General features: G+C 36.9%; 1 long non-coding RNA gene across 6 annotated transcripts in view; it reads left to right on the top strand.

Moving 5' to 3' along the window:
• LOC105369468 (uncharacterized) overlaps nucleotides 1–14208 on the top strand; it is a 383452-nt gene that overhangs the window by 270995 nt on the left and 98249 nt on the right. For 5 of the 6 annotated variants that reach the window (XR_007062870.1, XR_947973.2, XR_001748356.1 and 2 more), the window contains 2 exons: nucleotides 2062–2110; nucleotides 10688–10765. This is a non-coding gene — a long non-coding RNA (uncharacterized LOC105369468). Of the gene's footprint in view, nucleotides 1–2061; nucleotides 2111–10687; nucleotides 10766–14208 lie in introns of those variants that run through there. The other variant, XR_007062871.1, reaches the window with a different exon arrangement.

Genomic DNA, 14208 nt, shown 5'->3' with positions numbered 1-14208 from the left:
ATTAGAATGGCCAAAATATAGAACTCTGACAACACCAAATACTGACAAGGATGTGGAGCAACAGCAACTCTCAGTCATTGCTGGTGGAAATGCAAAGTGGTACAGCCACTTTGGAAGACAATTTTGCAGTTTTCTACCAAACTACACACCCTATTACTATAAGATCTAACAATCATTCTACTTGATAACTATTCAAAAGAGTTGAAAACTTATGTCTACACAAAACCTGCACACAGGTGTTTATAGCAGCTTTATTGATAATTGCCAAAACTTAGAATCAACTAAGCTGTCCTTCTGTAGGTTAATTAGTAAACAAATTGTGGTATATCCAGGTAATAGAATATTATTCAGCATTAAACAGAAATAAACCATAAAGCTACAAAAAGACATGTAGGAAGCTTAAATACATATTACTAAAGTGAAAGAAACTGATCTATAAAGGCTATATACTATATGATTACAACTACACAACATTTTGGAAAAGACAAAACTATGGAGACAAAAAAAAAAATCAGTGGTTGTCCAGGAGTTTAGCTGAGAGAAAGAGATGAACAGGTGGAGCGCAGAAGATTTTTAGGGTAGTGAAAATGCTCTGTGTGATACAGTAATTATAGATATGTGTCACTGTACATTTGTCCAAACCCATAGAATGCATATCTCCAAGAGAGAGCCCTAATGTAAACTGTGGGTTTTGGGTGATAATGAGCTGTCAGTGTAGGTTCATCAACTGTAACAAATGTATCATGCTGGTGGGGAATGTTGATAATGTATGTGGGGCGGGTGGCAGGGGGTTTTGGGAAATATCTGTACCTTCCTTTCAACTTCGCTGTGAACTTAACACTGCTCTAAAATATAAATGTTTAAAACAACAACAACAAACATGAATAATATAGTGGGATCCCATGTTCCCTTCACCTAGTTTTAACAGTTATCAACTCAGACAGTATTATTTCACCCATAATCTCAGTCCATGTTTCCCCTGCCCAATAATTTCTTTTAAATTAAGTCCTAAACACCATGTTATTTCATGCATAAATATTAAATGTTATATTTAAAATCTGATGACTCTCCTAAATAACAAAACTAAAACCATAACTAGAACACCATTTGACCTGCAATAATAAAACTGTCAATAATTCTTCAGTTTCATAAAATGCCCCCAAACTGTGTATATTTGATAGAGGAAATGGATGTGAGATTATATGGAGAGTGGGACATTGCTCAGAAAAGAAATGCTGGGATTTCATGCATCATTAGAAGTACCTTAAAATTAAGGAGTAGAGTGATTAGTGTGGATAAAATGAAGGCTAGAAACAAAAAAAAAAGGGGGGTTGGCCGTAAAGTATTTCTTATACCTTATACTTTTTATTTCTGTATAGCCGGCTTGGTTAAATATATGCTAAGATACTCAGGAGAACTTTACTTTCCACTTTCCACTTTTATTGTCAACTCTGCAGGAAAAAAAAAAGTACTCCTTATCTTCTCCAGAAGAGTCCATTACAAATATAGAAACGTTGCTTGTTAAGAGCCCATTAGATATGAAACTCTGTGGAGGAAAACTCTACGGAGGATTTGTTTCCCTCTGAAAATGTGCCTAAACCTAGACCTTGGTACGTAACAGGCCAATAAATACTTCCTTTTAAAATCTAAAAAATAAATAAATAAATAAACAAATAACTAGAATATACTGTAAGAAAACGTCACTACACAGAGCTACTTACTCTGTATTAGAGTAGAAAGGAACCTTTGATATTATTCCATGACAGCGATTTGAGAGCCGGGGCTGGGAGGGAGGAGTGTGAGGGAAGGTTCCGGTTATCAGAAACACCTGTGCAGCAGTGTGATTAACCTACACATGTTCTATCCACACTTGTATTTATGGATCAGAATTTCCAGGATGGGGAGGGACAGTTGTATTTTGATAATACAATAAATACATAAATAAAGCTACTCAAGTAGTTCTAGTAAGCTTATTCTTAGGAAAGAAAAGTAAATGCTGGCCTCCTTCAGATGTTATGAAAACGGAAACTGTTCACAGCCTGTTTTGTCTCTATTTTCTAGATTCCATTATGACATTAGTCTCTGGTCACAATTATCTGAAGCCTTGCAGGTAAGGAGTTTACCTTCACCTTCTTTTTCTGTTTAATGTCTTTCCTGGCTAGTCCCTCAAAAGTATATACTTGTTACCTGGTGTGTAGGGGTACACTGAATAAAGCACTTGGTATTATTCTAATTATTGAGACAGATGGTTCTCATGTTTGTTTTTCATTTGGATATGACAAATGTTTAATGCTGATACTAAATTATTGGAATAGACAAATTGTTAGATACATCACAGACTATGTTAATCTAGTGAGTAGTAAGCAAAGACATGTTTATATAATTATATCTTACCTTAGCTCTATACACCAGAAAAACCGAAGCCTGTTATATTCCTTGAAATTAAGAATGATTTCACTATTTCTGTGATACAGTTCCGCCTCCACCATTTATTATTGGAGTTATATAAGCACAGACTAGGAAAAGGTCAAGTTTTAAAATGTTGTAAAGGGAATTTTTCTCCTTTGATAACAGAGATTTAAATATGTTTTTGTTTTTGCCCATTATGTAATTATATCCTCCCTTTATCCACAAGTGCATAGAAAGGTGATCCTTTTGTAAACCAAAACCACCACCACCAATAACAAAAAAATATTTTTGTTGTCTAGCAGGGAAATAATTCCTGTCTAGATTTCACATAAAACTCATTCTATCCTAAATCACAGAGGCAGATTACATGGCTCTGACCACCATGCAGACCAGAAATGAGCAGGATAATTGGGACATAAAAATCAGATGATGCCAGTTATTACTGAAGCCCATAAAACAGAACTCCTTAGAAGTAGTTAGAATGGAAGAAGGAGATAAACATGATATTTCAGGAGTAGTTATTGTGTGCTATGACTTACAGTTACTGCACAAATTCTATAATATTTTGAGAGGTGGGGTACCAGTGGCTGAAAGTGAGGAAGGAGAGACCAGTGAAAAGCTTCTCCTGCAGCACAGAAGGGAAGAAGTGCATGAGTGTCCCAAGTTGACACAAGCATCAGGTGCCACAGGAAAGGGAGGTCTTATCTTCCAGGATCAAAGACGGAGTAGCATAAAAAAAAGTAAACATGTAAAATTGGTAAAGCAAAGAACCAATATAAGAAACAAATTTCTTGTAATCCCAGCACTTTGGGAGGCCAAGGCGGGCAGATCACCTGAGGTCAGGAGTTTGAGACCGGCCTGGCCAACAAGGCAAAACCCCATTTCTAATAAAAATACAAAAAAAAAAAAAAAAAAAAAAAAAGAAAATTAGCTGGGCGTGGTGGTGCATGCCTATAATCCCAGCTACTTGGGAGGCGGAGGGAGGAGAATTGCTTGAACCCAGGAGGCGGAGGTTGCAGTGAGCCAAGACCGGGCCATTGCACTCCAATCTGGGCAACAGAGCAAGACTCTGCCTCAAAAAAGAAAACAAACAAACAAACAAAAACAAATTAAGCAGAAATAAATACATAAATTTTTGTAATTTTGACCGTACCCTAAATAATAATGAGGTTTGAGACATCGACCATCATCAAGAGAGATAGAATCTACAAGAGAAACTGTAGCACATCTCAGTGAGAAGAATTACATAGTACTGCACACTTGGAATGTTCTAAGATATTATTAAGAAATGTAAGAAATTTCATCCATATTACAAATAAGGCAATTGAAAAATATAAGTAAAAAAGAAGACCAAATCTAGAAATAAATCTTGACTTCTACAGACCATGGCTAAAATATTTAACATAAATAATATATATCCATTAGTATTGACAGTGGTCTGAAAATTACTCATGAGAGGCTGGAATGAAATATCCTTTTGGGCAAGGGCTACAGCAGCTTCATTAACCACCCCAGGTGTTCTGGAATATATTAGGTGTCCAATAATGTCTGTCAGATCAAAGAATTCTATAATCTTTTGTACAAAGAATACTAGACTGAGAGTCAGAAAACCTGGGTTAGAGACTTCACTCTTTGGCTTCTCACTTGTGAGCAAATCACTTAATTACCCTGACTCTATATTTTATTTATTATAAAAGGAGAAATCAGGCTTCATCTATCTTGTGAAATAAATTCCTTACAGATGCAATTAAAATGGAATTTATATAAAATAATTTTCATACTGCAAATACAATATAAATGCACATGGCAATATGACTTCACAGTAACTTCTAAGTGGGGTTACTACTGTTCTTGGTAGTCCCTATGTATACTTCTCCACGCCACTGTACAAAGCTCTGACTAATCTAGGGCACTCCTTTCCTTATAGCTATTGTGGCCACCCAGAACTGACAATGAATTACATCATTCTCTAGCTAAGGTATCCTGTGCCAAATTTTAATGAAAGAACAAAAATTGCCTTATGACAAAAGCTTTCATTTACAAACTCTCCCTTCTGATAAATTCTGAAAGTTTAACACCTACTTTGTCTTCAGGGCATGGTAAAACTAAACTTAGATAATTTGGTCTGCTAATATCAAGCTTATAACAGGATGTGGCAGTTCGTGTTGTTACTAATAACCCATTGATGTGTATAAAATAGATATTGTGGGGAAAAGAAAGAGACACAGACAAAGTATACAGAAAGAAAAGCGGGCCCAGGGGACTGGAGCTCAGCTTACGGAGGACCAGCGCCGGCACCGGTCTCTGAGTTCCCTCAGTATTTATTGATCATTAGCTCTACCATCTCAGAGAGGGGAATGTGGCAGGACAATAGGGTAATAGTGGAGAGAGGGTCAGCAGGAAAACATGTGAACAAGTGCCTCTGCATCATAAACAAGGTAAAGAAAAAAGTGCTGTGCTTTTCATGTGCATATACATAAACATCTCAATGCCTTAAAGAGCAGTATTGCCACCAGCATGTCTCACCTCCAGCCCTAAGGTGGTTTTCTCCTATCTCAGTAGATGGAATATACAATTGGGTTTTACACCGAGACATTCCATTGGCCAGGGATGAGCAGGAGACAGATGCTTTCCTCTTATCAACTGCAAAGAGGCCTTCCTGTTTTACTAATCCTCCTCAGCACAGACCCTTTACAGGTGTCGGGCTGGGGGACGGTCAGGTCTTTCCCTTCCCATGAGGCCATATTTCAGACTATCACATCGGGAGAAACCTTGGACAATACCTGGCTTTCCTAGGCAGAGGTCCCTGCGGACTTCTGCAGTGTTTTGTGTCCCTGGGTACTTGAGATTAGGGAGTGGTGATGACTTTTAACAAGCATGCTGCCTTCAAGCATTGGTTTAACAAAGCACATCCTGCATAGCCCTAAATCCATTAAACCTTGAGTCGACACAGCACATGTTTTCTGTGAGCACAGGGTTCGGGGTAGGGTTGCAGATTGACAGCATCTCAAGGAGAAGAATTTTTCTTAGTACAGAAAAAAATGGAGTCTCTTATGTCTACTTCTTTCTACATAGACACAGTAACAGTATGATCTCTCTTTCTTTTCCCCACAGATATGATGATCATGTAAGTGACTGTAGAGAAGATGTGTTCAATAAATAAATATTCATTAAATATTTTCTAAATGCCTAGAGAAATCTAAAAAGAGAAACAGAGCTTTCAGCTAGTGATATCTCAGAATTTTTTGTAGAGAAATGCAATGGTTAGATACTTAAAAATTCAAACTAGTAAAACGAATATCAGAATAATTGAGAAGTACTTTACTGATAAACGAAATATAATTTTCCCTGAAATTACTTGGGAAAAGGGTTAACAAGGATAGATCTTAATTTATTTGTCATATTTTATAGTAGCCAAATTTTTATTTGAATTGTCATGGTTATAGAATTTAAGAAATGATGTTACTATTCTAAAAAACACTGCTTGGAAAAATACTTCAAAAATTTTGAATGGACCCCAATTAGTCCATTAGTAAATAGGCAATATATGTCTCCACATATGCTTATAAAAACAAACTGTGACTCTATAACACATACGTATTGCAATTCTGGAATGTAACAAAGTTTGAGACTTGGTCGTATTTCTCCTTATATAAACTACTTTTTCCACTTGATGGTCCTCAAGGAAGTTGTATTTTTACCCTTTCTATCTAGTTCTACTGAAAACATCCTTAGTTACTATAGGCAGTGTGATGATTAATTTTGTGTCAACTTGGCTGGGTTATGGTGCCTAGATATTTGGTCCATTATTATTTTGGATGTGTCTGTGAAGGTGTACTTATGGATGAGATAAACATTTAAATTGATGAACACGATTAGAGACAATTGCCCTCACTAATGTGGGTGGGCTTCATCCAATCAGTTGAAAGCCCAAATAGAACAAATACAGACCTCCCGTGAGCAAGAGGGAATTCTGCCAGCATGCTGCTTTCAGACTTGAATTGCAGCTCTTCCCTGAGTCTCCTGTTTGCCCACCTTCCTATCAAATTTTAGACTCACCAAGCCTCTACAATCACATGAACCAATGCTTTAAGGTAAATCTCTCTCTCTCTCCCTTTCTCTCTCTCTCTCTCTCTCTCTCTCTCTCTCTATATATATATATATATATATATATATGTAGGGGTGTGTGTGTGTATACACATATACACACACACACACACCCTATTGGTCTTTGATATGGTGTGGCTGTGTCCCCACTCAAATATCATCTTGAATGTAGCTCCCACAATTCCCATGTGTCATAAGAAGAGTCTGGTGGGAGGTAATTGGGTCATGGGGGCAGGTATTTCCTGTGCTGTTTTCCTGATAGTGATTAAGTCTCATGAGATCTGATGGTTTTATAAAGGGGAGATCCCATGTACAAGCTCTCCTTGTACGTCTCAAAGACGTCCCTTGCTCTTCCACTACGAATCTGAGGCCTCCCCAGCCATGTGGAACCATGAGGCCATTAAACCTCTTTCCTTTATAAATTACCCAGTCTCAGGTATGTTTTTATTGGCAGCATGAGAACAAACTAATGCAGTCTTGTTTCTCTGAATAACCTTAAATGAAAATCTTAGACATGCTTTTGTCTCTTCTCTGATCCCTTGATATAGTCCATTCCTGAATGAGCTCAACTAGGGTAATCTTAAGGGCTGGGAGAATCTCTAAGCAATGGATTTGCTTCCTAGATTCCTCAGGACCAGGCTCATATCTAGGGAGTGAGCTTCCACATTTCTTCAGTCCACGATCCCTTCCAGATCCCTGCCAAATGAGAAGAGTGGAAGAGATAATGTGGATATGTGAATACATGATTTAATATCTGCATTAACTTCACTACAATAGGAAGGCGAAATAAAACAACAGGTCAATAGAAACTAGAAGCTATTTCGTACTGAAATGGCACTCATCCCCGTTATAACATCATTTTCTGAAACACAATTTCTACCAAACTCTTCTCTGGACCATCCTCTAAGGTCAAACCAGCTGGACCACACATGTAGCTATACCTCTTATTGAAATTTAGTTCATTTAAATATGATTAAAGTTTCTCTAATTGACTTTGTTTTTCTTTCTTAACTCTGCCCTTATTATAATGCCATTGCCCATTCTCCCATTACCTGTAAGGCCAGACTTCCATGTCAGAGCATGAAGGTATAATGAATATTTGACTCTGGTTAATTTCCTACAATATTCTTGGCTGCTCATATTTTTGTGGTTTAAATAATTAAAACTTTTTAAATAATTCTGCCCATATTCTTTACTTGTTTTGCTTCTCTTTACCTCTGCCTTGACTGAACTGTTCAGCTGCTGACAAGTAGCTTAACATCTTATATTGCTACTAGATAAGTTTGATGCTTTTTATTCTTTCTCTGTAATATAATACTTTACTTTCTGATTAATGTTTCCCAGTCAATATGTTTTTTTTAACCACGGTCATCCTAAAAGCCTGGTTTTACTAGAAATTATATTCATTAATTCATCATTTTTCTCTCTTTCTGACTCTCTCTAGCTAACAAGAAATTACGTCTAGGATATCTGAGTAGAGCAGCTGATTACTTCCACCTCTTAAAGACTTAAGGATTAAAAGAAAACCATAGAATATGTATGATTTCATTAATATTTTCTTCATATAAGATTAATATTTTAAGGAACATTTACATTTGTCTTTAGCTGTTAGGTGAAGTACCTGCCTATTTTGTGCCTGCAACAAGGCAAGTCCACTGGAGGTGACAAGGCAGGCAGCCTTTAAAAGTGAGCTTTGAGCATGTAGTTTTATTCATAGAAATAATTTCCTTCCCTCCCTCTCTTTCTCCCTCTCTCCCTCCCTCCCTCCAGCTCTTTCTTCCCTTCCCTCCCTCCCTCCCTCTCTCCAGCTCTTTCTTCCCTTCCCTCCCTCCCTCCCTCCCTCCCTTCCTTCCTTCCACCGTCTCTTCCTCCCTCCGCCTCTCTTCTTCCCTCCCTTCCTCTTTTCCTTCTTCCTTTCTTCATTCCTTTTTTGTTTTCTTTCCTTCTATTCTTCCAGCTGTTGCTTTGTTCTGACTCCATTCATTTACTCCCTGTTCAGTTTCATTCTGTTTCTAGACTTTACCTGATTTCTGACATTTTGGATCTCTCTCTCTCTCTCTGTCTATCTCCTCTCTCTCTTTGTCAGATACTTCTTTCTGGGAAAAAAAGCATCTGATAAAGGTTACTGGGAAAAAAATGACTTCTTTGGTGCTTAACCTTTAATACTGTCTTAGGTTTGACTTACAACTTTTGCAACGGCACTTCCTTTTCCAGATAACCACTGTAGATAACCCCAGGTGACTTCTTCTTGCACTCATACATTGGAGCAATTTCCCATCAATTCTACTGCAGTTTCTCGAGAGGAAAATCAAACAATGGGTCGTGTATTTTACTAACTGCATTTTAGAGGTGAGAAAATTGAGGCAGAAAAAAAATTATACAATTTCCTTGAGGCCGAATAACATACTAGAAACAGAGAGCTTTAAGCCTTAGTTCTTTCTGATTAACATCACTATTCCATATTTAGTTGCAATTTCTCCAGGAATAGAGATTCAGAAAATAGATTTTACTTCTACAGTGATTAGATTTAAAAGTAAAGTAAGAAATGCTTATTTCACTCTAAGTAGAAATTTATTCATGGAGCTAGATCCAGATGTGGTAAGCTCATTACAGATGTGATAAAGCCCTTTGTAGAAATGGTATGTGAGAAACACAGGGGGGCTTTCACTCGTCCACTGTAAATCATGCATTCATCAAGCCTTTTGTAGGCACCATCTGTGACAGACCCTGAGAGAGGTGATAGAGATACAACTGTGAGCATGTCAGCATCCATGATTTAAATGACTTTATAGACTATCACAGGGTAAAAGTAAAAAAAGAAAAGAAAATATTTCTGAATCCATTCTTGAGATAATATATGTGATGGCAGTGATTTATATATAAATGGACAGATTATTTCTTTTCCATAAGTCTATAAATGACTTAAAAAGAATGATATGGTGTTAATCATGTAGTCGTAGTGGTGCCCCCATGACAGGGGCACAAAAATTAAAAAAATAAAAATAAAATAAAAAATAATTTTTTAATTTTTTAATTAAAAAAATTAAATTTTGCTCCCAAAGGGAGAAAATTGGTTATGGGAGAGGAAAACAATTCCCAGGCATTACAATAATTTGTGTTCCCCACAAAGAGCAACAGTACCTAAAAAGATATTCAATATGTCTGTGGAATTAAAGTTTCATTTGGAACTGGGTGTGATTAAGAAAAATATGTTTTTAAAGTCTCCTTAGGAGGGAAATATGAACAAATGTTGAGAAACACTGGTTAACCTCTTTTGATGTTTGAGCTATTGCCAGTATCTTTATTGGATTATTGGAACTATACAAAAATTATTGCAAGTAGCATGGAATATATTTATGATTCCCCTGATTAGAAAGAAATGCACTTTAATATCATAAAAATAGATCATCTAAATTATCCCAAGTATTTTCTTCAGGAGGAGGGACTTCTTTCATAACATGTATTTTTTAGATCTGGTAATGATTTTATTTTGCTCTGTGTACAAAAATCAGAAAGTGTTATAGCTATGAAACATTTCTTTCCCATTTTTCAGGTTCTGTGCACTCAACACATACACTGTATAACGTTTGACCTTAAAGGAGTTATTCTCCCCATCACATTTGCCAGCTTGAATGTCTGTCTTTATTCTCAATATATTTTTCTATTCTCACGTTGTCAACTTGCACCTGATCTTTTAAAACCCTTATTAATAATGATTATAGTCTATAAAATAAAAGATGCTCCACAATAGAAAAGATTGATGATATTAATATATAAAATATTCCTTACATATTGAACACAGTCAATAAAGAACTACCTCAAAAATTAGCACTCTCCCTTCCACTTAATGTGTCCAACTTGAGCTAGGTAGATCCTGGACACTCTCTCTATTTGTTTTTAACGGTAATATTACAGGTACTTAATAGAATGTCTGTAAAAATTATGACACCTTAATACATGTGGTGAATGAATTCAGATGTTCTTTATTTCCAATCAAAACTTAAGAGAATAAACTATCAATGCTTTTATCAAATTATTGTCTTTCCCCTTATTCATGGTTTCACTTTCTGCAGTTTCAGTTACTTGTGGTCAATTGTGGTCCAAAAATATTAAATAGAAAATTCCATAAAGAAATAATTAATATATTTTAAATTGTGTTTGTTCTAAACAGGATGCACCATTCCACTTCATCCTGTCTTCATCACAAGAAGAAAAGTGAGTAAAGTACAATAAGATATTTAGAGAGAAAGAGCAATATCTCATTTATGAAACTTCTATTACAGTGTATTGCTATCATTGTTTTATTTTAGGTTATTGTTAGTCTCTTACTGTACCTAATTTATAAATTTGGTACATTTATAAATTTGACATTTATACATATGTATATAAAAAAACATAGTTTATATAGAAATTTGTACTATCTGCAATTTCAGTCATCCACTGGGAGTCTCAGAAAATATTTTCCTTGGGTAAGGAGGAACAACTGTGACTTAAAGTCATTACCCTCTGTTTATTTAACTGGCTGTATCTGGAAGACTAAAAGATGAGAATTTGGGGCAGCAAATCTCAAGCACTGAAAAAACTTTCTATTGATAAAAAAATATAGTTTACAAAGGTTCTGATTATACAATATTGCCATCAGAGGCAGAAGCTTAATTTCGGTGCCCCTTTACTTGCATAATTTTTCATTCAGGGTTTTGTGTTCTATTTATTAAAGAAGACTCCCTAATTTTCATATAATTCAGTTCTCTGGAAAACCTGGATTAGTTCCACCCCGATGGCAGTAGTGACTGACTCTCAGCTCACTAGTGTTTCATGGCTCAGTCTTAGGGAAATTTCAGCCTACTTGACACAAGTGCCAAATCGATCTTTTCTCTTGCCTTTCCCTCAAAAATCCATCCCACACACTCCTGCCAGATAAAACTTCCTAATGTCTTTTTCTGCCTCTATAACTTTATTTCTCAGACATGTTCAATTCTTTCCTTGGCCCATAAAATTAAGTTCTTGCGCGGTGGTTCACGCCTGTAATCCCAGCACTTTGGGAGGCTGAGGCTGGCGGATCACGAGGTCAGGAGATCGAGACCATCTTGGCTAACATGGTGAAATCCCGTCTCTACTAAAAGTACAAAAAAATTAGCCAGGCGTGGTGGCGGGCGCCTGTAGTCCCAGCTACTCGGGAGGCTGAGGCAGGAGAATGGCGTGAACCCGGGAGGTGGAGCTTGCAGTGAGCCGAGATTGCGCCACTGCACTCCAGCCTGGGCGACAGAGCGAGACTCTGTCTCAAATTAAAAAAAAAAAAAAGTTCTTACTCTGACTTTCAATGCCACCTACCAAATGGCTGCAATCACCCTTCGTTTATCTTCCTGCTAATCCACTTTATATAACCTACTGTATTAATCAGGGTCCTCTAAAGGGACAGAACTAATAGGATAGATGTATATATGAAGGGAAACTTATTAAGGAGTATTAACTCACACTATCACAAGGTGAAGTACCACAATAGGTCGTCTGCAAGCTGAGGAGCAGGGAAACCAGTCCGAGTTTCAGAATCTCAAAAGTAGGGAACCCGACAGTGCAGCTTTCAGTCTGGGGCTGAAGGCCCGAGAGCGCTGGCAAACCACTATTTTAAGTCTAAGAGTCCAAAAGCTGAAGAACTTGGAGTCTGATATTCAAGGGTAGGAAGCATCTGGCACGGGAGAAAGATGAAGACCGGAAGACTCAGCAAGTCAAATCCGTCCACGTTCTTCTGCCTGCTTTATTCTAGCCACGCTGGCAGCTGATTAGATGGTGTCCACCCAGATTGAAGGTGAGAATCTGCGCCTCTCAGTCCATCCACTGACTCACATGCTAATCTCCTTTGGCAGCATCCTCACAGATGCACCCAGGAACAATACTTTGCATCCTTCTATCCCATCAAGTTGACACGTAACCATCACACCTATTAACTGAGTTACTCTTTCTCCCCAGTGTGGTACGTATATCCATGAATTCTTTCTTTTTTTTTTTAAATTTTCTTGAAATACTTTCTAGGGTGGCTCTAGATAGACCTGAAGTCATATTCTGGGCTGCCCAAAAAGAATAGGAGCTGATAAAAGCACTTGGATTTCCAGCTGCCCCAGGATTCAGCACTGTTAGCCTGCGTCAAAGTAACTCTGTGTCAGCCTGTACCACATTTGCCCATGATTGCTTCATTTTTCTCTTGGTATGCTCATCTCAGATTTTTTGATTCTGGTTATGGGACAAGAAGTTAAGCATTAGGTCTCTAATATAGCCTGCATTCATGTTATGAACAGATGATCATAAAATTCAAATAATTTCATAAGATTGACACAGATTTTTCTTACTCAAGAATTCAAGTTTGATGGAAAAAAACGTTTATCTGATTTAACTATATGGATTATTATTCTGTTTTGGAAAGAGACTATAATTGGGAAAAGATAATGAATTGTTAACTGAAGAAAAATATTTCCTGTGGATGTATACATTTGGTTACATATGAAACATAAGGCATTGTATTGTATGTTTCTTATATGGTGTTCCCAAGGACTGAAATATATCAATTTTATTCAGTCTTTCTTTACCTTCCTTTAGGTTACCCCAGGATCACAAAACAAATACTAAAAATCAAGCACTTCTAACAGCAGCAATGGCCTCCATGTTTCCAAATCTGCCTGTAAAATCCTTCCAACACCCTTGTGCTCATGTAAACACGTTTGACATGTAGGATTTCCTTAGTCCCCACCTACATGCTACCTTTCGCTCATTTGGTCTACACTTCTGCTATCTCATTTTCCCTTTACATTTAATATTTCTAAAATATTACCCATCAAATTAGCTTTTACGTTATTTGAAGACAGTACTCTCAAACCAGCATTTTGTTCAACTTTGTATACTCTAAAGATCTAGGTACAGGTTAAATGTGTAAACAGATATTTACCATGTTTTCCTTTAAAATGTGCTTCTGTTGAGACCTTTCTCCAAAAGTGTCTGCTCATCTCTCATTTTATTGTATTGATTGTAGAGCGGTTAAATGAGTTCTTTATTTCCCAAGTCTCCACATTCTTCAGGGAATTAGATGTTGTATTTCTTATCCTTCATGTCATAGGCAGCTACCTCCTTTGGTCACCTTCCATTTGTGCCAGTGTCCATAGTGCCATAACTTCCTTGATGTACTTCTCCAGACTGAGGTGCACACACACACACACACACACACACACACACACATATATACCCCTACACATGTATTTATGAGTGTTTGTATATATTGGGAAGTATTGTAAGTACTTTGTAATGGTTTCCTGTTTTTGTGTATTACTAAAACTTGGCGTTGCTATCTTCTGTGTATCTTATTCTTCCTCTCCAGATTGTTCAATTGCTCCTTTTCTTACCTGAATCTCAATGTTTGCTCCCACTTTAATTGTCTACCAATATTTCTAAGCTATTTTGTCTCCCTGTTGTGACTTCACAGTCAACAGTGGTGTCAGAAAGACAGTTTCCAATCTGTTATCATCTGTGAATATCATTAGTGTGGTTTTACTTACACCCTCTTTTAGCTCACTAATGAAGATGCTGGGTAGATTGCACCATGCATCAATTGTCTAGAGACAACACAGAGTAAGTTGTCATTTTCCTTTATCTTTCATTTTTGATCCTTTAATTATATCGTGGGTTATTTACAAGCTTATATCTAAA

The sequence above is a fragment of the Homo sapiens genome, chromosome 11 (assembly GCF_000001405.40).
Source record: "Homo sapiens chromosome 11, GRCh38.p14 Primary Assembly".
Lineage (NCBI taxonomy): Eukaryota > Metazoa > Chordata > Mammalia > Primates > Hominidae > Homo > Homo sapiens.
This window is presented reverse-complemented; position numbering and strand designations above follow the sequence as displayed.